At 40.8% G+C, this 22570-nt stretch overlaps 2 pseudogenes; one reads left to right on the forward strand and one right to left on the reverse strand.

Moving 5' to 3' along the window:
* Positions 584 to 2192, forward strand: FKBP4P2 (FKBP prolyl isomerase 4 pseudogene 2; annotated as a pseudogene).
* SDR42E1P1 (short chain dehydrogenase/reductase family 42E, member 1 pseudogene 1) lies at positions 21407 to 22159 on the reverse strand (annotated as a pseudogene).

Raw genomic sequence — 22570 nt, forward strand, 5'->3', positions numbered from 1 at the left:
AAGACCAGCCTGGCCAACATGGTGAAACCCGGTCTCTGCTAAAAATACATATATGTATATGTAGCTGGGCGTGGTGGTGGGCGCCTGTAATCCCAGCCACTCGGGAGGCTGAGGCAGGAGAATCGCTTGAACCCGGGAGACAGAGGTTGCAGTGAGCCAAGATCGCGCTACTGCACTCCAGCCTGGGTGACAGAGTAACACTCTGAAAAAAAAAAAAAAAAAAAAAAAAAAATATATATATATATATATGTATAAACATTTTTCTGAATAGACATACTGATATGGTTTGGCTCTCTGTCCCCATCCAAATCTCATCTCGAATTGTAATCCCCACACGTCCGAGGAGGGACCTGGTGGGGGGTGGTCGGATCACAGGGACAGTTTCCCCGATGCTGTGCTGGTGCTGGTGAGTGAGTTCTCATGAGATCTGATGGTTTTTTTGTAAGAGGAAGTTTCGCCTGTTTTCTTTTTCCTGCTGCCTTGTGAAGAAGATACTTGCTTCTCCTTTGCCTTCCGCCATGATTGTAAGTTTCCTGAGCCCTCCCCAGCCACGTGGAACTGTGTCAATTAAACCTGTTTCCTGAGAGGTGCTCCAGCCTCCGCGCGGTCAGCAGTCAGCGCCCTAGTGTCCGGCCTGCCGCATGCCCTGCAGGTAGCGCCCCCGCCTGCGGCCCAGAGTGCACTCGCGCCTGCGCCATCTCCCGGAAAAATTTCGCGCCACGCAGAGATGACAGCCAAGGAGATGAAGGCGACCGAGAGTGCGGCGCAGCCGGCGCCGCTGCCCAAGAAGGAAGTGGACGTCAGCCCCAAACAGGATGAAGGAGTGCTGAAGGTCATCAAGAGAGAGGGCACAGGTACAGAGATGCCCATGACTGGGGACCTAGTCTTTGTCCACTACACTGGCTGGCTGTTAGAGGGCACAAAGTTTGACTCCAGCGTGGATCGCAAGGACAAATTCTCCTTTGACCTGGGAAAAGGGGAGGTCATCAAGGCTTGGAACATTGCCGTAGCAACCATGAAGGTGGGGGAGGTGGGCCACATCACCTGCAAACCAGGATATGCCTAGAGTTCAGCAGACAGTCCTCCAACGATCCCCCCATAACGCCACGCTTGTGTTTGAGGTGGAATTGTTTAAGGAAGAAGATCTGACGGAAGAGGAAGATGGGGGAATCATCCGCAGAATAGGGACTCGCGGTGAAGGCTATGTCAAGCCCGATGAGGGCGCTATGGTGGAGGTTGCGCTGGAAGGGTGCTGCAAGGACCAGCCCTTTGACCAACGGGCGCTCCGCTTTGAGGTTAGCGAGGGGGAGAACCTGGATCTGCCTTATGATCTGGAGAGGGCCATTCAGCACTTGGAGAAAGGAGAACATTCCACTGTGTACCTCAAGCCCAGCTATGCTTTTGGCAGTGTTGGGAAGGAAAAGTTCCAAATCCCACCAAATGCCGAGCTGAAATATGAATTACATCTCAAGAGTTTTGAAAAGGCCAAGGAATCTTGGGAGATGATTTCAGAAGAGAAGCTGGAACAGAACACCATAGTGAAAGAGCAGGGCAGTGTGTACTTCAAGGAAGGCAAATACAAGCAAGCTTTACTACAGTGTAAGAAGATTGTGTCCTGGCTGGAATATGAGTCTAGTTTTTCCAATGAGGAAGCACAGAAGGCACAGGCCCTTCGACTGGCCTCTCACCTCGACCTGGCCATGTGTCAGCTGAAACTACAGGCCTTCTCTGCTGCCATTGAAAGTTGTAACAATGCCCTAGAACTGGGCAGCAACAACGAGAAGGGCCCCTTCCGCCGGGGAGAGGCCCACCTGGCGGTGAATGACTTTGAACTGGCATGGGCTGACTTCCAGAAGGTCCTGCAGCTCTACCCCAACGACAAAGCCGCCAGGGCCCAGCTGGCTGTGGGTCAGCAGCGGATCCACAGGCAGCTTGCCCGGGAGAAGTTCTATGCCAAAATGTTTGAGAGGCTGGCTGAGGAGGAGAACAAGGCCAAGGCAGAGGCTTGCTCAGGAGACCATCCCACTGACACAGAGATGAAGGCGGAGTGCAAGAGCAACACGGCGGGAGCCAGTCTCAGGTGGAGACAGAAGCATAGCGCCTCTCACCAGCCCTACTCCTGAGGCTGCCTGCCCCCCAGCCTCCCCACTCCACCCTGTTAGTTTTGTAAAAACTGAAGAATTTTGAGTGAAAACAAAACAAAACAAAAAACTCCTCTTTCATTTATAAATTACACAGTCTCAGGTATTTCTTTATAGTAGTGTGAAAATTGAATAAAACACATAATTTCACCTTGTAAGGTGAATCCTCCTTGGTTCTCATGTAACCAATGTTTTAACACTCTTCTTTAAAAGGGCTTTTCTTAATGTTGGAAAAATTTCCCAAAACAAAAAGTGCAATAGGGACATATTAAATTTAGCAACCAAAGTGAACAATGTCTATTTTGTTTCTAGTTCCCTCTAGTCACTGTGCTCCTTGGTCACTCCCACACCCTAAATTCCGAAACAAGTGGGCACTCAAATCAGTAAGACCACAGTGGCACTCAAATAAAAAGCCCTCCCAGCATCCCTCTTATTTCCCCTAGGAGTTGTTTTTTTTTTTTTTTTTTTTGAGACGGAGTCTCGCTCTGTTGCCCAGGCCGGACTGCGGACTGCAGTGGCGCAATCTCGGCTCACTGCAAGCTCCGCTTCCCGGGTTCACGCCATTCTCCTGCCTCAGCCTCCCCAGTAGCTGGGACTACAGGCGCCCGCCACCGCGCCCGGCTAATTTTTTTGTATTTTTAGTAGAGACGGGGTTTCACCTTGTTAGCCAGGATGGTCTCGATCTCCTGACCTCATGATCCACCCACCTCGGCCTCCCAAAGTGCTGGGATTACAGGCGTGAGCCACCGCGCCCGGCCTATTTTATGAAACTTTAAGCCCATCTTCTTTCTTTTTTTTTTTTTTTTTGAGACGGAGTCTTGCTCTATCGCCCAGCCTGGAGTGCAGTGGCAAGATCTCGGCTCACTGCAAGCTCCGCCTCCCGGGTTCATGCCATTCTCCTGCCTCAGCCTCCCGAGTAGCTGGGACTACAGGCACCCGCCACCACGCCCGGCTAATTTTTTTGTGTTTTTAGTAGACACGGGGTTTCACCATGTTAGTCAGGATGGTCTCGATCTCCTGACCTCGTGATCTGCCTGCCTAGGCCTCCCAAAGTGCTGGGATTACAGGCTTGAGCCACTGTGCTCAGCCCCTTCTTATTTCTTAATTAATTTATTTATTGAGGAGCCATGTAGGGAGACCTAGTGTACAAGCTTCCTGCATTTAGAATCAGTTGGACTTAATTTCTCTCTAATGCTTGTTTTCTTATCTGTGATTTGGTGGTCATAATAATACTTATATAAGAGGGTATGATTATTCCGAGGACTTATGGAAGTAAAGTGCTTAAAATGCTTATCACAGAGCCTGACACATAGTAGCCTCTAAAAATTTGTTACCAGGCACTGCGTTGGTAACATAAAAAAAAATTCTCCTGTTTTCAAGTATACTACTGTTTCACAAGGGAGAGAAAAAAACATAAAAATAAAATTAAAAGTTAATTTTAATTAACTTTAATTAAAAGTTTATTCTAAAGATATAGTAGGTAAATTTTTATCTGAAGAATTAAAAATGAGCAGGATACTATGATTCATTTTAAATTAATTTTTGTGCATGGTGAAGTGCAGGTCAAGATACATGTTTTTCCCCATTGTATTAGTCAGGGTTCTCCAGGAAAAGAGAACCAGCAGAACAGCAGAATGTCTATCTGTCCGTCTATGTATCTATCTACCTATCTATATCAAGAGATTTATTTTTTAAAATTGGCTTACACAATTGTAAGGGCTTGGTTAATCCAAAATCTACAGGTTAGGCCAGCAGGCTCGAGACCCAGGGAAGAGTTGCAGTTTGACTCCAAAGGCAGTCTACTAGCAGAATTCCTCCTTGCTCAGGAAGTGTCAGTCTTTGCTCTATTATTATTATTATTATTTTTTGAGACAGGGTCTTGCTCTGTCGCCCAGGCTGGAGTGCAGTGGCATCTCAGCTCACTGCAAGCTCCACCTCCCAGGTTCACACCATTCTTCTGCCTCAGCCTCCTGAGTAGCTGGGACAACAGGCGCCTGCCACCACGCCCGGCTAATTTTTTGTATTTTTAGTAGAGATGGGGTTTCACCGTGTTAGCCAGGATGGTCTCTATCTCCTGGCCTCTTGATCTGCCCACCTCAGCCTCCCAAAGTGCTGGGATTACAGGCGTGAGCCACCGTGCCCGGCCAGTCTTTGCTCTATTAAGTCTTTCAACTGATTGGAGAAGGCCCTTCCACACTATGGAGGGTAATGTGCAAACCCTAAGTCCACTGATTTATGTATTGTTCTTATCCAAACGAAAAAATCTTGACAGAAACATTCAGAATAATGTTTGACCAAATATCTGGGCACTGTGGCCCAGCCAAGTTTAAAGACAAAATTACCCACCACACCTACAGATATCTAACTGACCTAGTAAATTTTATGGAAAAGACTATCTTTTTGTCCGTTGAATGGAAGTGGCATCTTCAGGAATATGTATCTAAAATATCTATTCTGCCTTAATTATAGTGTTTATAGTAAAATAATTCTCATATGTAATACATATGAGAATATGTAAATAAATTATGTAATACATAAATATAAATATCATTTATAGTAAGCTAAGTCAAAGTTTAATTTTTAGCAACATTTATTCAGGATGGATCATAGGCCACAATGTGGAAGCTTGGACAGTAAAAACAATACAAATTCTATAACAAAAAAGTACAAAATATCTTCCATGACCTTGAGATAGGCAAAGATTTCTTAAACAGGACCAAAAAGACACCAAATATTTTTAAAGTTTATTAAATTGAACTTCTATAAATTAATGACTTCTATTCATCAAATAATATAATTAAGTTAGTTAATCTTGATGTCATCCCATTTGTTTATTTTTGCTTTTGTTCCCTATGCTTTCAGGGTTATATCCAAAAAATTGCTGATCAAACCCATATCTTGGAGCATTTTCTCTGTTTTCATGTAATAGTTTTCCAGTTTCAAGTCTTATATTTAAGTCTTTCATCAATTTAGAGTTAATTTTTGTATATGGTATGATATAAGGATCTCATTTCATTCTTCTACATGCGGATACTCAGTTTTTCCCACAGCATTTATTGAGAAGGCTGTGCTTTCCCCACTGTGTGTTCTAGGAACCTTTGTCAAAAATCAAATGGCTGGGTTTATTTCTGGGCTTTCTATCCTGTTCCATTGGTCAATGTGTCTGTTTTTATAGGAGTACCTATGTGGTTTTAATTAATATCACTTTATAACATGTTCTGAAATCAGGGAGTATAATGCCTCCAGCTTCGTTCTTTTTGCTAAATATTGTTTTGGCTATTCAGCATCATTTGTGTCCTCAAGTCAATACTCTAAGTTCCTACTCAAGAAATAAGAAAGAAGAACAAAGTAAATTCAAAACAAGGAAAATGAGGGAAATAAAAATAAGAGCACAGCTAATATCAAAAAATCAATCACTTTCCTATACATCAGCAATAAACAAGTGGAATTTGAAATTAAAAACAGAATATCATTTACATTAGCACCCCTAGAAATTAAAAACATAGGTATACATCTACCAAATTTGTATAAGATCTATATGAGGAAAGCTATAAAGCTGAGGAAAGAAATCAAAGAACTAAATACATGGAGAGCTATTCCATATACATGGATAGAGAGACTCAATGTTGTCAAGATGTCTTTCTAACTTGATTTGTGGATCCAGTGCAATGCCATTCATTACAACAGCAAATTATTTTATGCAATCTAAAATGTACATAGAGAGACAAAATATCCAGGTAGCAGAGCGTAGAATAATGTTTGCCAGGGGTTGGGGGTAGGGGAAATTGGGAGATGTTGAGTAAAGGGTCCAATTTCAGTTATGCAAGAGAAATAAGTCCTGGAGATCTAATGTATAGCATGGTGACTATTGTTAATAATACTGTATTGTATACTTGGAATTTGCTAAGAGAATAGATCCTAAGAGTTCTCATACAATAAAAAAGGAAGGTAAATATGTGAGGTGATGGATATGCTAATTAGCTTGATTATGGTAGTCATTTCACTATGTACATGTTTATAAAAATACCACATTGATGCAAGCTTTTGGGCTGGGGATCAGAGTTCTGGTGCAATTCTAGACTCTTCTCAAGAAGAATCTGAATACACTCTTGTGGGGATGGTACAACCAGCCTAGTTCCTGTGACAGTGTTCTTTCCCCTGTAGCCAGATGTGGGTTGGGTAGTGAGAGGTTAGTCAAGGTTAGTCAGCTCCAGAAAGTCTGTCTGTCTCCACAAAGGGGAGTGACAAAGAGCGGGAGCCTGAACTCAAGTGAAGAGCAATCATGAGGGCGACCTCATAAGGAGGACTTCTCAAACACGGGGCCATCTAAGTTTCACAATGACCGTAAAAGAAAGCCATTTTTTTTTTTTTTTTTTTGAGACGGAGTCTCGCTCTGTCGCCCAGGCTGGAGTGCAGTGGCGGGATCTCGGCTCACTGCAAGCTCCGCCTCCCGGGTTCACGCCATTCTCCTGCCTCAGCCTCCCAAGTAGCTGGGACTACAGGCGCGCGCCACTACGCCCGGCTAATTTTTTGTATTTTTAGTAGAGACGGGGTTTCACCGTTTTAGCCGGGATGGTCTCGATCTCCTGACCTCGTGATCCGCCCGCCTCGGCCTCCCAAAGTGCTGGGATTACAGGCGTGAGCCACCGCGCCCGGCCAGAAAGCCATTGTTATCTCCATTTTCTGATGAAGTAGTCTGAGAAATAATGAGACTTTCCTGAAGAAAACCAGTAAACAGCAAAGTCAGCATTTATTCTTTTCACTCCACAGACATTTTTATCTAGGTATTGTTCAAAGGACTAAATGTGTGTCAGTCTTCATTAGTCATGGATTTTTATTTTAAAAAGTGTGGTCAAAAATACTTTATTAAGTGGGTGATATTTAAATAAACCCTTGCATGAAGTGAAGAAGCAAGCTCTGTAGATATTTGTGGAAAGAATGTTTCAGGTGGACAGAACAATTAAAAGGACTAAGGCTGGAGAAGGCCTGGCCAGTTTAGGGAACATCAAAGATACAAGGGGTGAGGGTGAAAGGGAACGGGTAGAAAGGGAGATGGAAGAAAGTTTTTTGTCTTTACCTAACAGTCATGGGATGAGCAACTCAGCTTTGCATGATTATCCGAGTACAGGTTTCTTTCAACTTTTTGCTGTTCCATGCCCCAGGGTATGGTCCATATCTGCCTAATAACAGCTGGGTCATGTGCTTGTAACAGAAGGGGAAAGAGGGCACATTCTAGGGCAAGTAGCTTATTTTGTAATTTGAAGATGTCCTATACGGTCGATTGTTTCCAAAGATGACTGCAACACTCCATTCTATCTTACATGACCTTTTGCAATATGACTTTTCCACTTTTCCATCAAGACATAGAATCTGTCTTACCTCCCCTTAAATCTGGACTAATCTTATGAGTTGCTTTAACCAATATCATGTGGTAGAAATGACAATGTGCAACTCCAAAGACAAAACTTCAAGAATCCCCACACCTTCCATTTTTTATGTCTTGGAATGCAGCTGCCATGCTGATAGAAAGCTAAGCTAGACTGACGGAGGAGAACAGAGCCCCAGAGTCAGCCAATAGTCAGCACAACTACCAGCCATATGATTTAAACCATAATGGAAGTTCTAGCCCTGGCTGAGCTCCATAGGAGTGAAACTGCAAGTGTGAGCTCATAAGAGACCATCAAATGAGCCTGACTCTTAAATATTTGGTGTAAGCAAGTGTGAGAATGGAGTTTCCACCAGATGAGATTAGGAAGTTTACAGGTAAACAAAGTTTTGAATGCAAAGATCAGGAGTTCAGGTTTGAACATTGGTAAGTTTGAGCTATCTCTAAGACATCTAAAAAGAGTCAAATAAGCCTTTTGGAATTTTAGTTTGCAGTTTGGGAGAGAGGTGTTGGCTAGAGAGCCACATTTGGAAGTCAGTGGCATATGGATGGAACTAATGCCAAAAGACTGACTGAAACAAGAAAAAAAATTAACAAGGAGGAGTCGTAATCAATTATATCAGATGCTGCAGATAGTGTGAGTAATGTGAGAATTGAGAGTTGACCACTGATTTTAGCAATGTGAGATTTGTTGGACACTTTGACAAGAGCAGTGTAGGGGAAGTGCTGAAAAATCTGATTGGACTGTGTTTACAAGAATAACAGAGAAAAATATTTTAAAAGAGTGTGGATAACTCCTTCAAGGAATTGTGTTGCAAAAGAGAATAGAAATGGGACAGGAGCTGGCAGAGAAAGTAAAGCCAAGAAAAGTTTCTTTTTGTTTGTGTTCTATTGTTGTCATGCCCTTAAGGATAGGGAATATAGCATGACTGGATGTTAATAGAATTTTCCAAGGAAAAATCCAAAGGCCAGAGGTGAGCTAATCTTGCGACTTCTATTTTTGAATAGGTGAAGTATGAGCTTCGTATATGAGTAAGGGTAGTTAGTCTAAGTTAAAAGGTGAGAAGGCAGACTCTGTGGGTGTAGGTACTGGTGGGTAAGTGTCTTTGTTCATTTTGTGCTGCTGTGACAGATGACCACAGATTGCGTGATTAATTTTTTCACAGGTATAAAAGCTGTGAAGCCCGAAATCAAGATGCCAGAATTTGATATCTGGTGAGGCCCTTCTTGCTGCCTGTGCACATGACAGAAGGCAGAAGGGCAAGAGAGCCAAATGCTGCATTTAGCCTCTTTTTTAAGGGCTTTGCTGCAGTTTGAATGTGTCCTCCCAAAAATTATGTGTTAGAAACTTAATTATCATTAAAATAGTATTAAGAGGTGATTACACTATGAGGGCTCTGCCTTCATAAATGGATTAATGCTGCTATTGTGGGAATGGGCTCCCTATAAAAGGACCTATTTGGCCTGCTTTTTTCTCTCTCACCCCTTTTTTATGCCCTTCACGATGAAAGGACACACATGAAGGCCCTAGGCAGGAGTCAGCCCCTTGATCTTGGACTTTCCAGCTCCAGAATAGTGAGCCAATAAATTTCTGTTTATTATAAATTACCCAGTCTGTGGTATTCTGTGTAACAGCATAAAATGGACTAAGACAGTCCTTAATCCTATTCATGGAGGAGGAATCCTCATGGCCTAATTCCTCTTAAAGGCCTCACCTCTCAATATGATCACATTCTTCATTAAGTTTCAACATATTAATTTTGGCAGAAATACATTCAAATCATAGCATTCTTCTCTGGCCACTCAAAATTCATATCCTTCTCATGTGCAAAATACATTATTAATTCCATCCCAATAGCCCCAAAAGTTTTCATTCATTCCAACAACAACTCAAAAGTCTAAAGTCCAGAGGTTTATGTAAATCAGGTATGAGTGAGACTCAAGGAACAATTCATCCTGAAGCAAATTTCCCTCCAGCAATGAGGCTGCAAAGTCGAATAAGTTATTAGCTTCCAAAAACACAATGGTGGTATAGGTGTGGGATAGACATTCCCATCCTGAAAGGCAGAAATTGGCTAAAAGAAAGGGGTAACAAGTTCTGAGTAAATCCAAAACCCAAAAGGGCAAACAACATTAGATCTTAAGGCTTGAGAATAATTTTATTTGACTCATGTTTTACCTTCAAGGCAGACTGGGGCAGGGGTTGGATCCCCAAGGCTCCAAAGGCCACAACCCCATAGCTTTGCTGGGCACAGCCCACACCACAGCCCTCATGGGTTGGAGTCTCCTGCCTGCAGCTCTTTCACGCTGGCATTGCATGCTGGTGACTCTAAAATGTGGAGGTCTCCAGCATGGCCCTACCCCCATAGTTCCACTAGATTTTGTGTTAGTGAGTACTCTCTGAGGTGGCCCCACTCACACAGCTCCACTGTGCATACCTCTGGTGGAGACACTCTGAGGCATTCTCTGAAACCTAGGGGAGGAAGCTAAGCCTTCAAAGCTCCTGAACTCTGTGCACTTGCAGAGTTCGCACTACATGGATGCTGCCAAGTGCTATGGCCTGTACCTCCTGAAGCAGTGACTTGAGCCACACCTGGGCCTGCTTGAGCCATAGCTGGGACAGCCAAGGAGCACTGTGCCAGAATGCAGGGAGCAGAGATTTGAGGCGGCCCTGGATGGTAAGCCTCAAGTTCCCATGGGCACCCTGGGCCCCTCCCTCAAACCTGTTCTGCCCCCAAGGCCCTAGCACTCTGCCTGTGAAGAATGTGGCGGCCTCAAAGATCTCTGAAATGTCTTCGCGGTCATTTTCCCATTATCTTGATAAATTGTTCCTGGCTTCCTGCTATTCACACTAATCTGCTTATCAGACTGTCAATTGGGCACACCCTTGGTTTTCTCTACTAAACATGCTTTTTTATTATTTACATGGCCAGGCTGAGAATTTTTCAAATCTTTACATTCTTTACATGTGAGAGCTTCCCTTTTGATTATAAATTCCATCTTTAAGTCATTTCTCTCTTTTTGCATTTTGCTATGAGCAGTTAAGAGAAGCCGTGCAATTCCTTCAACATTTTGCTGCTTAGAGATTTCTTTCATCAAGTATCCTAGTTCATCACTCTTAAGTTCTACCTCCCACAAAATACTGAGGCAGGAACATAATTCAGCCAACTTCTTGGCTACTTTGTAACCATGATGGCCTTTCTTCCAGTTTCCAGTAAGGTGTTTCTGATTTCTCTTTAAGATACCATAATAAAGGCCCTCACTGTCCATATTTCTACCAGTATTCTGGTCACAACCACTGAGATAATATAAGAACTTGTCTAAGATGAACTAAGAAGGTTCAGGCTTTCCCTACAGCTCTCCTTTTGTTCTGAGCCCTCACCAGAATCACCCTTAATGTGCCATGTTGGGCCATACAGGCTTTTTCAGCATTCCCTTTAAAACGGTTCCAGCCTCTACCCATTACTCAGTTCCAAAGCTGCTTCTACATTTTCAGGTATTTGTTGTAGCAACACTCCATTCTCCTGGTATCAATTTTGGTCTCAGTCTATTCGTGCTATTATAACAGAATACCACAGCCTGAGTAATGTGTAAAAAAAGAAATTGGCTGGGTGCAGTGACTCATGCCTGTAATCCCAGCACATTGGGAGGCCAAGGCCGTGGATCACTTGAGGTCAGGAGTTTGAGACCAGCCTAACCAACATGGTGAAACCCTGTCTCTACTAAAAATACAAAATTAGCTAGGCGAGGTGGCGCACACCTGTAATGCCCACTACTTGGGAGGCTGAAGCAGGAGAATCCCTTGAACTTGGGAGGTGGAGGTTACAGTGAGCCGAGATTATGTCATTGCATTCCAGCCTGAGCAACAAGAGTGAAACTCTGTCTCAAAAAAAAAAAAAAAAGAAAAGAAAAGAAGTTTATTTTCTCACAGTTCTAGAGGCTGACAAATTCAGGATCAAGGAGACAGTGAGGTCCTTTTGGCATCTGGTGCGGTCCTTTTCGCTGCATTCTCACCTGGCAGAAGGTAGCACGGCAAGAGGGCCAGACGCTGTGTGAAGCCTCTGTTAGAAAGACCTTTATCCCCTTGATGAGGGAGGAGCCCGCATGGCCTTAAAGGCCCATCTTTTAATACTGTCACATTGGCCATTAAGTTTCAATACCTGAATTATGGAGGAGGCACATTCAGATCACAGCCATAAGCCAATGTGATGTTGGAAGCTCATGGACATTCTTTTTTGATTGCTTCAGTTTTCTGGTGAAGTAGGGAGCTAAGAATGAGACTGGGAGAAGAGACACTGGCATTTCGAGGAAAGAGAAAAGAGAGAAAAAGTGTTATCTAAGAGAATGAGAGGGTAAACAGGTGTGAAATGTTGTGTGATGCTTTGCAGCTTTAAGGGTACCTGTTATGTTCAGCCTTCACTTTAGAGATGAAGACCCTAAGTCCTGGAGAAGTGATATGCCCGTCCTTGGATCATGCGGCCAATTGAAGTGGAGTCCTTACTAGAACCCAGGACTCCAAATGGCCACCTCAACAATATTTCATGTATGTGCTCCATGTGGTCTTCTGTGTTATAGTTTAGCTACTGAACATAATAGATCTCCAAGTCAAAAAGGCTATTTTTAATACATTTTTTACATGACTGTTCACGTAAAAAGAAACAGACTTTCACTTTGAGACACTTATTTTTTCCTTCAAGCCTGTCTTGCAGATTCCATCAGTACAAATGTCTTATTTATTAAAAGTACAAAGACAGACTTTGAAGCAGAAATTTAAAATGCCCACCTGGGAAAAACCAGATGAAATCTTCACGATCCAGTTCTGTGACAGGTGAGCCAGCAGCAGGCTCCCCATGTCTCCTAAGATACGGGCTTCCACCAGAGAAAAGAGAATATCTAAAGTGCTTTAATGCAACCTGTCCAAAAGTAAACTTTTTCTTTCTCTGGTGAAGAAGACAAAAGGAAAACTTTAAATCTACTCGAAGTTTGTAAAAGAAGCATGACAACTCTTGCCTAGTAGGGCTGTGGCTAGGGCTGGTTCCTAGAGTGGCCATGATGATGGGAGGAGCATGCTAGGATTGGTTCCTCAGCTAGGCCTCCAGACAAGTATGGGGGCACCAACTTTGTGTAACTACCTTCCCACTCATTTTGAGAGCCACAGAGTTTGCACCCTGCACTTGCTGTCTGGTGGCTTTCAACTCCCATTGTCAGCCCTTCCTTGGAGAGATGTATTATATTAATACTTTCCATTGAAGGGCACAGTTTGGTGTCTTATTACCTTCTTACAAAGATCTAGAGCTGCCTTTCTCTACCAGGGCTCCTCATCTGAACCTCAGAGCATGGGAAGTGATGTGAGTAACTGTTTCAGCTCACCAGAGAACAACTACTTGCACGTATAGTAGTTGCTGTCCGTTGTCCAGTCCCAGAAGAGGTTCAGCCACTCACACATCTTTCCAAAATTGGCGAACTCTGTTTTGGTACAGCAAGGATGATGTTTGCAAAATGCTGAGACAAGCAATCACTACAGAATTTTTCAAATCTAATGTATTAGAAGATACAGAGATGTTAAAATGTTGGATATGTTAAAAGTTATCATTGTAATTGGAAAATGTGTTGCTTCTTTAAACTGTGATGGATCATTATACTGATAAAATTTAGTATTCACTCTATGGGAAAAAGCCCAAGCTCTGCTCCAAACATTTTATTTCTACATTAATTCTGCTAATTTCATCTTTCCTCCTTCCCTCGCCCTTTGGAAGGGTAAAATATTTAAGTTGAAGAGAAAAATCTAATTTTAAAAACAATTTTTGTTTAAAACTTGTTTTTGATTTTCATATTATATTTATATCCTGTCTATAAACAGAATCAATAATGAAAGCCATAGATTATGATGGAAGAGCTTCTTAGGTCCATACTAAAAATGAAACAAAAGCTTATACCTTTACTAGATTTCAACATAAAAAATATATGCATATGATTAAAGAAACCCATAAATAAGGGGAAATCTCACAGAAGTGAAATAAGATTTGAATATGGAAAGAAAAGGACCCAAAAGTCATTGCACATTCACAGAAATCTAGTTTTCATTATAAAGATCATCTTATGACATGCTTTTGCAACATCAGTAGGTAGAATTTCTTTTAGCACAGAGCCTGACCACACTTTCTTTCAAAAATATGGAGTTAATATGTCACTTTTGAAATCATTATTATGATTTTTATTTTCTCAATGTTATACTGAACACACTGAATTTAGGACTGAGGCAAATGAGAGTTAGTCTCCTAGTCACAACTATATCTTTTACAGACTAAGAATTTTGCAAAAATCAAAGCATAGATATAAGTTCACTTCTATCCATCTAAAGAAGCACAAAAAAAGAGCTGTTTTAAAAGGTCATGTCATAGGTGGGTACAGTCCCATTGTTTAGCTGCCTCTCTCTTGACTCTCTGACCTGGGACATTGTGGGGATTTGCCTCATTGCAATAGTTGCAATTCCTGGTCCCAGTTCTCTTGACTCTATCCTTGAAGTCAGAAGTATTAGACAGAAAAAAAATGGAGACTTGAATTTTTTTAGAGAAAACATGTGTGGGTAGATATTTAACTGATTAATGTCCTCTTAATTACTTGAACATTACTAGCCAATACATGTGAGCTTTTGCAGACAAAGGGTTGCAGCCATATCGTCCAATTCTTGTTGGTTACATGTCAACAACCTGTGATCCACTGCACCTGTAAAATACTGTTAGCCCTATTTTCACTCTCATTATTTAATACAAATGATCACTGTTCTTTTTTATTATTTTCTCTTCCTTTAATTTTCTTACTCCCAGTTTTTCTCCACCACTCCATCTTCTTCTTGCATAAACCTCTGCTGGTATCTAACATTCTTTATTCTCAAGGGTGGCATCTTAAAGGGCGTTTCAGATCTTTGGGTCTTACATTAATTTAGTTGTGGGTCCACAGCTGGGAAGCTCAGTATCAAGACTGCCCAATCACTGATAAGAAGAGATAGATGGCCAGGCACGGTGGCTCACGCCTGTAATCCCAGAACTTTGGGAGGCCAAGGTGGGTGGATCATGAGGTCAGGAGATCAAGACCATCCTGGCTAACACGGTGAAACCCTGTCTCTACTAAAAATACAAAAAATTAGCTGGGCATGGTGGTGGGCGCCTGTAGTCCCAGCTACTCGGGAGGCTGAGGCAGGAGAATGGCATGAACCTGGGAGATGGAGCTTGCAGTGAGCCGAGATCGCGCCACTGCACTCCAGCCTGGGTGACAGAGTGAGACTCCGTCTCAAAAAAAAAAAAAAAAAAAAAAAAAAAGAAGAGATAGATAAGTCAGCTGGTGATCACACTTGACAGAGGCTAAGAGTGAAACTCTGCCTAGGCGATGGGGAGGGCCAGGAGCAGGGGCCCATGCTGTGAAAGGTAAGCCCTCAAACAAGGTGAACAGCGGTGAAGTAAGGGCTTATTCCCTCCTCGAAGATTTTGTTACTATCTTGCCCCTCCGCAGATATGATCCTTTAAAGGTTTCTTATCTTCTTTTGGAGAAAATTCTATACTCCCCTCGTTTTCAAGGACATCTCCAAATTGGTTCCAAAGGGTCTTTCTATTCACAGCTTCCATTAGTCCCTTGCAGGCTCCTAGGCAAACAAGATCATTTATTTATTTATTCATTTTCTTAAAAGTACACCCATTTCCAGCCTCATTCTTGGATCAGGCCCAGCATGGCCTTCCCTCTCATATGTGCACACACTAACCAACTAAAGATGGATTCTAGATCTCCATCACGAAGACTCCTTTAAGCCTCCCAGGGAGGAAGAAACTTCAAGCTTACCATGAGGAAAATATTTTCTTTTTTATACCTCTTTCACAGAGAAATCTTTACCTTTCTATACTGTTTTTATGTAGTTTTAAGTTATGTCACGAATATTGTAGTGTCCCCATTAACCTCTAAACTTCTTGAAGGAAGGAATTGTGTCTAACCCTTTTTCTGCCTTAATGGTAGTAAAATTTTACTGATTGAAGAATGAATGTGGAAGGATGTTTTCGGGAAATAGCCTTTTGTTTAATACTCAGTAGGTTGGTTTCTATCTTATCTCTTCATAAAACTTCACAAAGTGACAGAATTCCTTCCTTTAATTGAGATCATTCTCAGCTCTAGTCTACCTCCAGATGGTCTGTTTTAAATTAACGGCTCAAAATTTTACTACTCTTGAGAACTTGGGCAAACTAATCAACCATTCTTAGTCTCAGTGTGCTCTTTATAAAATGAAGAAAACGTTAATCCTTCCACTGCTTTGTGAGGCTTGAATGAGATGCGAGTCCCTCAGTTCATCTCAGGGCCCTGTGCTCAGTAATCATCCACTCTTAGGACTGAGCTGAAAGAACAAGCACATTCAAGGAAACAATGGGGTTTGGTTTTTTCCCAAAAAAGTATTTTTATTGCTTGGCAACCAATAAAGAGTTCATAGTTCTTCTACCTCTTCTTTCTCTTTTTATTTAAATAAGCAGGCAATCAAACCTATAGATTTTTCTGTTAAAAATATATTCATTATGTAGACAAAATTTAAGAATGTTAGAAAAACTTTAGTGTAGAGACAACAAATGTCATATAATTAAATATGCCTATGATTATTTTGATTTACATGATACCAAGGGTCTGTGTAGGAAGATAAGTTTAGCCCAAAACAATCTTAGCTGAAGCAAATGCAAAACAGGAAATTTAGACACAAGGAAATAAACACTAGTCCTAAAGTATGCTCTTTAAAATAGCTTTAACGCAGCATAGAGTTTTGCATCTATATTTGTGAACAAAATTATCCATGCAGCTGTCCAATATCTTGCCAGAATTGTAAACTTCAAATTAGGATGCAAACTCAATGTCACTCAAGAAAGTGGTCATGAGGCTGGACTTAGTCATTGGTAATTATTCTGGATTCATCAGCAAGGGCAGAGCTGATTTTACCATTTCATAACACACCACTTCTGAACAGTTTCCTCCCAGGTGCTTAAGAATGAAGAAGTGGCTGTCAGGACTGCACTGGCAATATTTTTCAAAATGTGGATCCCTGGTCATATTAAAATAAAAGTTTTTCCCCCATCAGGTTAGCAGAAATGTAAAATGGAGATTGGAATTTAGATGTAGAGTTTTGTGTCAGAACCACGTTTGATAGTCAGTTACACACATCTGGCCCACAGTTAAGAATGTAAACTAACAGCATTAAGAGCCAGACATCCTGGGTTCAAATACCAGCTCTGCTGTATAAGGCTTGGCCTTTCTGTGCCTCAGTTGTCTCACTTGCAAAATCAGGATGATATCATCCTCCAAGGATTACTGTGAGGATTAAATTGTTAATATGCTTAAAGTGCTTGGAACAGAACACACGCTCTGTGAAGTCATTACTATTATCATTACATTAACACTTCTCTTTTTGAAAAAGGACACTTTTTCTATTAGTTAAGACAAAGCAAGCCATATATTTGCAAATTCCTAAAACAATGATTGAAATTAAAATTCTATAGGAGAATGACTTAAATTTTCTTTGTAATCAGAATAGATATGCCTCCAGTTCCATTCTTGAAGCAGGATACATGCCAAGGTCAGAAGGAAGGTGACTTCTGCTTTCACAAGCCTGTGAGAGAATGGGATCCGGGATGAGTCCTCTGACTCAGGGGCTCACCTTTCCCACCATGTCATGCAACGCATCAAGGAGGCTCATGTTCTTTCAATTTAAGGAATGCACATTTCATTGCTTGAAAGAGGAAAATTTAAATGTTTCTTCAAAGGTTATACAGAATATTATGACAGACTTAGGACAACAAACAATGCTTCTGTTAACTGTTAGAGGTCTCTTTGGCAGTGTTATTATGAGTTAACTGCTCAGTAAGAAGATGGTTAATATTGAGTGTCAACTTGATTAGATTGAAGGATGCAAAGTATTGTTCCTGGGTGTGTCTGTGAGGGTGTTGCCAAAGGAAATTAACATTTGAGTCAGTGATCTGGGAGAGGCAGATCCACCCTCAATCTGGTGGGCACCATCTAATCAGCTGCCAGCGAGGAGGCAGGAGAAGATGGAAGAGCAGACTACTGAGTCTTCCAGCTTTCATCTTTCTCCTGTGCTGGATGCTTCCTGCCCTCGAACATCAGACTCCAAGTTCTTCAGCTTTTGGACTCTTGGACTTACACCAGTGGTTTTCCAGGGGCTCTTGAGCCTTTGGCCACAGACTGAAGGCTGCGCTGTCAGCTTCCCTACTTTTGAGGTTTGGGGACTCAGACGGAACCACCACTGGCTTGCTTGCTCCTCAACTTGCAGACAGCCTATCCTGGAATTTTACCTTGTGATCGTCTGAGTCAATACTCCTTAATAAATTCCCTTTCGTATATACATATATCCTATTACTTCTGTTCCTCTAGAGAACCCTAATACAAGGGATTAACATCAGAATTTTGAATTCACCTAAAAGCAAGTGAGGTTACATGAAGTAAGCACAAGAATGTCCTCCAAAATGTACCTTAAATTAAATGGAAAGTAAAGAAGACATGAGAGTTTATTTTTATATTACTGAATGTTGTTTCTTATAAAAGGCATACTTTAATTCAGTAAGTAATTTGAGAGGGTCTGAAGACTAAACTACATGTTAAAAAACATTGCCGGCTGGATGTGGTGGCTCATGCGTGTAATCCCAGCACTTTGGGAGGCTGAGGCAGGCGGATCACAAGGTCAGGAGTTCCAGATCACCCTGGCTAACACGGTGAAACCTCATCTCTACTAAAAATACAAAAAAATTGGCCTGGTGTAGTGGCACATGCCTGTAGTCCCAGCTAATCAGGAGGCTGAGGCAGGAGAATCGCTTGAACCCAGAAGGTGGAGGCAGCAGAATCGCTTGAACCCAGAAGGCGGAAGTAGTAGTGAGCCGAGATCATGCCACTGCACTCCAGTCTGGGTGACAGAGCGAGACTCCATCTCAAAACAAAACAAACAAAAAAACAAAACAAAACATTGCCAATGTTTCCATATTGTGGGAAAGCTATTTATTGGGAAACAGTTTACTATTTTATTAGACCATGCAGATTATGGTGATGTGATATTATACCTAGAGAAATACAATATAGAATAATATTACAGTTTTTTTAAAAGAGCCTTCTACATGTTGCAAAAATCTGATTTTTAATTTAATAGTACTTTAAGTAATCAAGAACATTTTATAAAGAAACAGCAATGATTAGTATTATAAAGATTATCTGTTTGTTTTATTAATCATGGAGAAAAGTTGTCACAATACTTGCCCTTTATGATATTTCAATAAGAATCACCTGCCAAATAATATGGTGATATCCATACCCACAACAATTCCATTGACTTATGAGCTAAAAATTTACTTTTTACTGCAGATGGTTGGTTCCCATGCCCTGAGAAACACAAGATGCTCCATGGAAATGCTGATGATTTTACCTTCATAAAACCAGTTTTATTCACATGTCACATGCCTCAGAAGTCAAGCACAACCTACTCAAAACTTTAGCTCTGCAGTATAGAGGTCTCCTTCTTCTCCAAGCTAAGATCTTTTGGGGAAGAAGAGCTTATAAATTGATCAGAATTTGCTCCCACAAGTTCCAGTAAGCAGAGTAGTAACTGAGAACCCAGGCTTTGTGGCCTTATAAATCTGAATCTACTAGCTGTGTATTCTTGGGAAAGTTACTTAACATCTTGGAGCCTCAATATTCTCATTAAAAAATGAGAATTTAAAAGTAGCATTGTCATAGGTACTGATGGCTATGTGGTGTCATGTGATTCTTGGCGCAGGTCCTTCATGACATTGTAACTATTGTTTTAATTGCACCATGCACTACAAATAAAATGTTGTATGAATTAAATGGAGCTACCTTAACTAAAATAGGTGGTAATTAATGAAAAATGCTAATCATAACCAGAAAAAAAATTTATTTTTTTCTTTTTAAATCAGGATCCCTGATAAAAATCTACCCAGAATACAAATCTACCCAAAATGAGATTATCATCCACAATCTCATGTAAAAATATCTAGGCTGGCACGGTGGTTCACGCCTGTAATCCCAGCACTTTGGGAGGCCAACTGGGGCGGATCACCTGAGGTCAGGAGTTTGAGACCGGCCTGGCCAACATGGTGAAACCCTTCCCCTACTAAAAATACAATAATTAGTGGGGCATGGTGGCGGGTACCTGTAATCCCAGCTACTCAGGAGGCTGACACAGGAGAATCATTTGAACCCGGGAGGTGCAGGTTGCAGTGAGCTGAGACAATGCCTTTGCACTCCAGCCTGGGTGACAAGAGTGAAACTCCATCTCAAAATAAATAAATAAATAAAAATATTTAAAACCTAGATTTTTTAAAAAGCATTTGGTAGCCTGACCAATAACTGGAGAGAGAAAAAGTGATGCTCCAAGAATAAACTATTATATTTTAATTCTCAAGTCATTTAAATTGATAATTTTATGGGTCCTTGCACATAAACAGCTGAAATGTTAAATCAATTCATTAAAGTGTTCATAAATTCACTAAATGTTCTTAATCATCATTAAGCCTTAAACAACCTGTGACATCAAAATGATTACAGAGAAACAGTGATAAATTACTTTGAGTTATCAACTATATATTTAAATACTGGGATACTGGTCTAAGTTATTTGGTATTTTAGGGGATATTAAGTATTCCATCTCTAATATAATTTATATTATGTCATGCTTCCCATAAGTTTTTAAACAGAAACTTTAAGAAAGTGATTATGCACTTAAAAAATCATATCAAGCAATATAAAATCTGAACACCAGATTGGTACAAAACATGAATATCACATAAAAGTAACCTAGCATTGAAAATGAGAAGCTGTTACCCTGTGAAATTATAATGTAAAAACACACTAGATAAAATGCAGTATCTTGAGTATAATCTGTTACAAATTCTGAAATTGTGTACAAAATGTATATTATATGGATTTTAAGACCTCTCCCAAATGTAGACTTTTGACATACCTGGCCTGTAAAAGATATATAGGCTGACAGACCTAGGGGAAAAAATGCTATGTTCTGAGCCCAATGTTCCTCTTTGGTCCATAAGTATCATTTACAAGAATAATCATGATTCTCTGATTCCAAACTGTTGCCCCCATTATGAGCCGATTGCTCATACCTGTGGCACCAGTCACTCCATCAAACCTTTATTCTGGGCTGCACACTCCTGGAAGGAACCATAAAGGAGGTCTGAGGGCAAATATCCTTTGTGTTAGGATCTGGCTCATGTCCACATCCCCCTTGCTGGTGCCATATTCAATCCATGAGGACCTACTGGATTCTAGACCTTAGTAGTAGACATAAAATTCCAGAACAGTTTATGGAATTTTACTATGTGGTCCTTCTGTTTCTTAGCATTTTTGTCTTAATCAGTTTAGGCTGATATAATAAATTATCATAAACTGCGTGGCTTAAACAAGAAATATTTATTTCTTATAGTTCTGGTGGCTGGCAAGTCCAAGATCAAGGCATCAGCATGGTTGAGTTCCAGTAACTGCTGATTGCAGACTGCTGATTTCTTATTTTATTCCTACATGGTGGAAAAAGAGCAAGCTAATTCTCTGGCCTCTCCTGTCCAATTTGTAAAATTTCATATTCAGACATGTAAAAGTTATAATGCTTATTTCAAATTGAGAATCAGTAGGGTGATAGGCATTTTAGCAAGAAACATAATTATCTCCATATATAAACTAATTTTAAATATTACAGTTTAGTTTTCCAGGTACTAATTCCTTGGCTCATATAAAATGTATACTTCAGAAAATCTCTTTCCTTGTTTCTGCTTTTTATTCCAATATTATAACTTCTCATAAAAAATGAAATAAGATAAATTTAAATGCTGTGTAATTCAGCTATCTGGAAAAGGACATCATTCTTCTGATGACACTGAACATGTAGATGAGGAATCATAGTGGAGGAAAGCTATCTTAGTGGGACCAAGTATCCCAGTGGTCACAGACTTAAGGGAAGGGATTCAGGATGTTAGGGATGTAGGGGAGGAAAAACACCATTTACTTCCACTATCTTTTTGTCCATAGTCAATTTTGTCTGAGAGTAGTGATTGCTTTAGAGGTGAAGAGCTAAGAAAGACAGATTCATCTTCATTTCTGACCATTTCACCTCCAAATATGCATTAAAAGCACTAGTGTAAACTAATTTTATTACTCCTATCCTCCTGCAAGCCTGGAGGACATTGCCTGTGTCCCCCACATTGACTTCTTCAAGCAGTTTTTGATTCAATTGTTTCCACCCTGACATAACATAAAAGACAATATGGAACCCACAGGTAACATTTATATCCTGGAAGGCTTTCTCTACCTCAGAGAGATGACAGATGTCTCCATGTATAAAGTTGATTCCTTCCAGAATGGTTTGAGCAGGGATACTTATGTCAAACAGAATCATATGGACTCCCTTCTGATTCAGAAACAGCCTAGGCAGAACCCAAAATATCTACCACTTCCTGTAATGACAACAATTTCTTTTTAAAAAAATAATTTTGATTTTATTTTATATTCAGGGGACATAGCTGCAAGTTTTTACACAGGTATGTGGAATAATGCTGATGTTTAGGATATGGATTCCATCACCCAGGTAGTGAGCATATTACCTAACAGGCAGTTTTTCAACCCATCTCCCCTCCCTCCTGCCCCTTCCAGTAGTTCACAGTGCCTAGTGTTACCATATTTATGTCAATGTGTACTCAGTGTTTAGCTCCCACTTACAAGTGAGAACAAGCTGTATTTGGTTTTCCATTCCTATATTATAACAATTTACTTAGGGTTATGGCCTCCAGTTGCATCCATGTTTCTGAAAAGGACATGATTTCATTCTTTTCTATAGCTGTGTAGTATTCTGTGGTGTATATGTACTACTACTACATTTTTAAAATTCAATCTACTGTTGATAAGCACCCAGGTTAATTCCATGTCTTTGCTATTGCGAATAATGCTGTTATGAACATACAAGTGTATGTGTCTTTTTGGTAGAATGATT

Source organism: Homo sapiens, chromosome 9 (assembly GCF_000001405.40).
Source record: "Homo sapiens chromosome 9, GRCh38.p14 Primary Assembly".
In the NCBI taxonomy this organism is placed as follows: domain Eukaryota; kingdom Metazoa; phylum Chordata; class Mammalia; order Primates; family Hominidae; genus Homo; species Homo sapiens.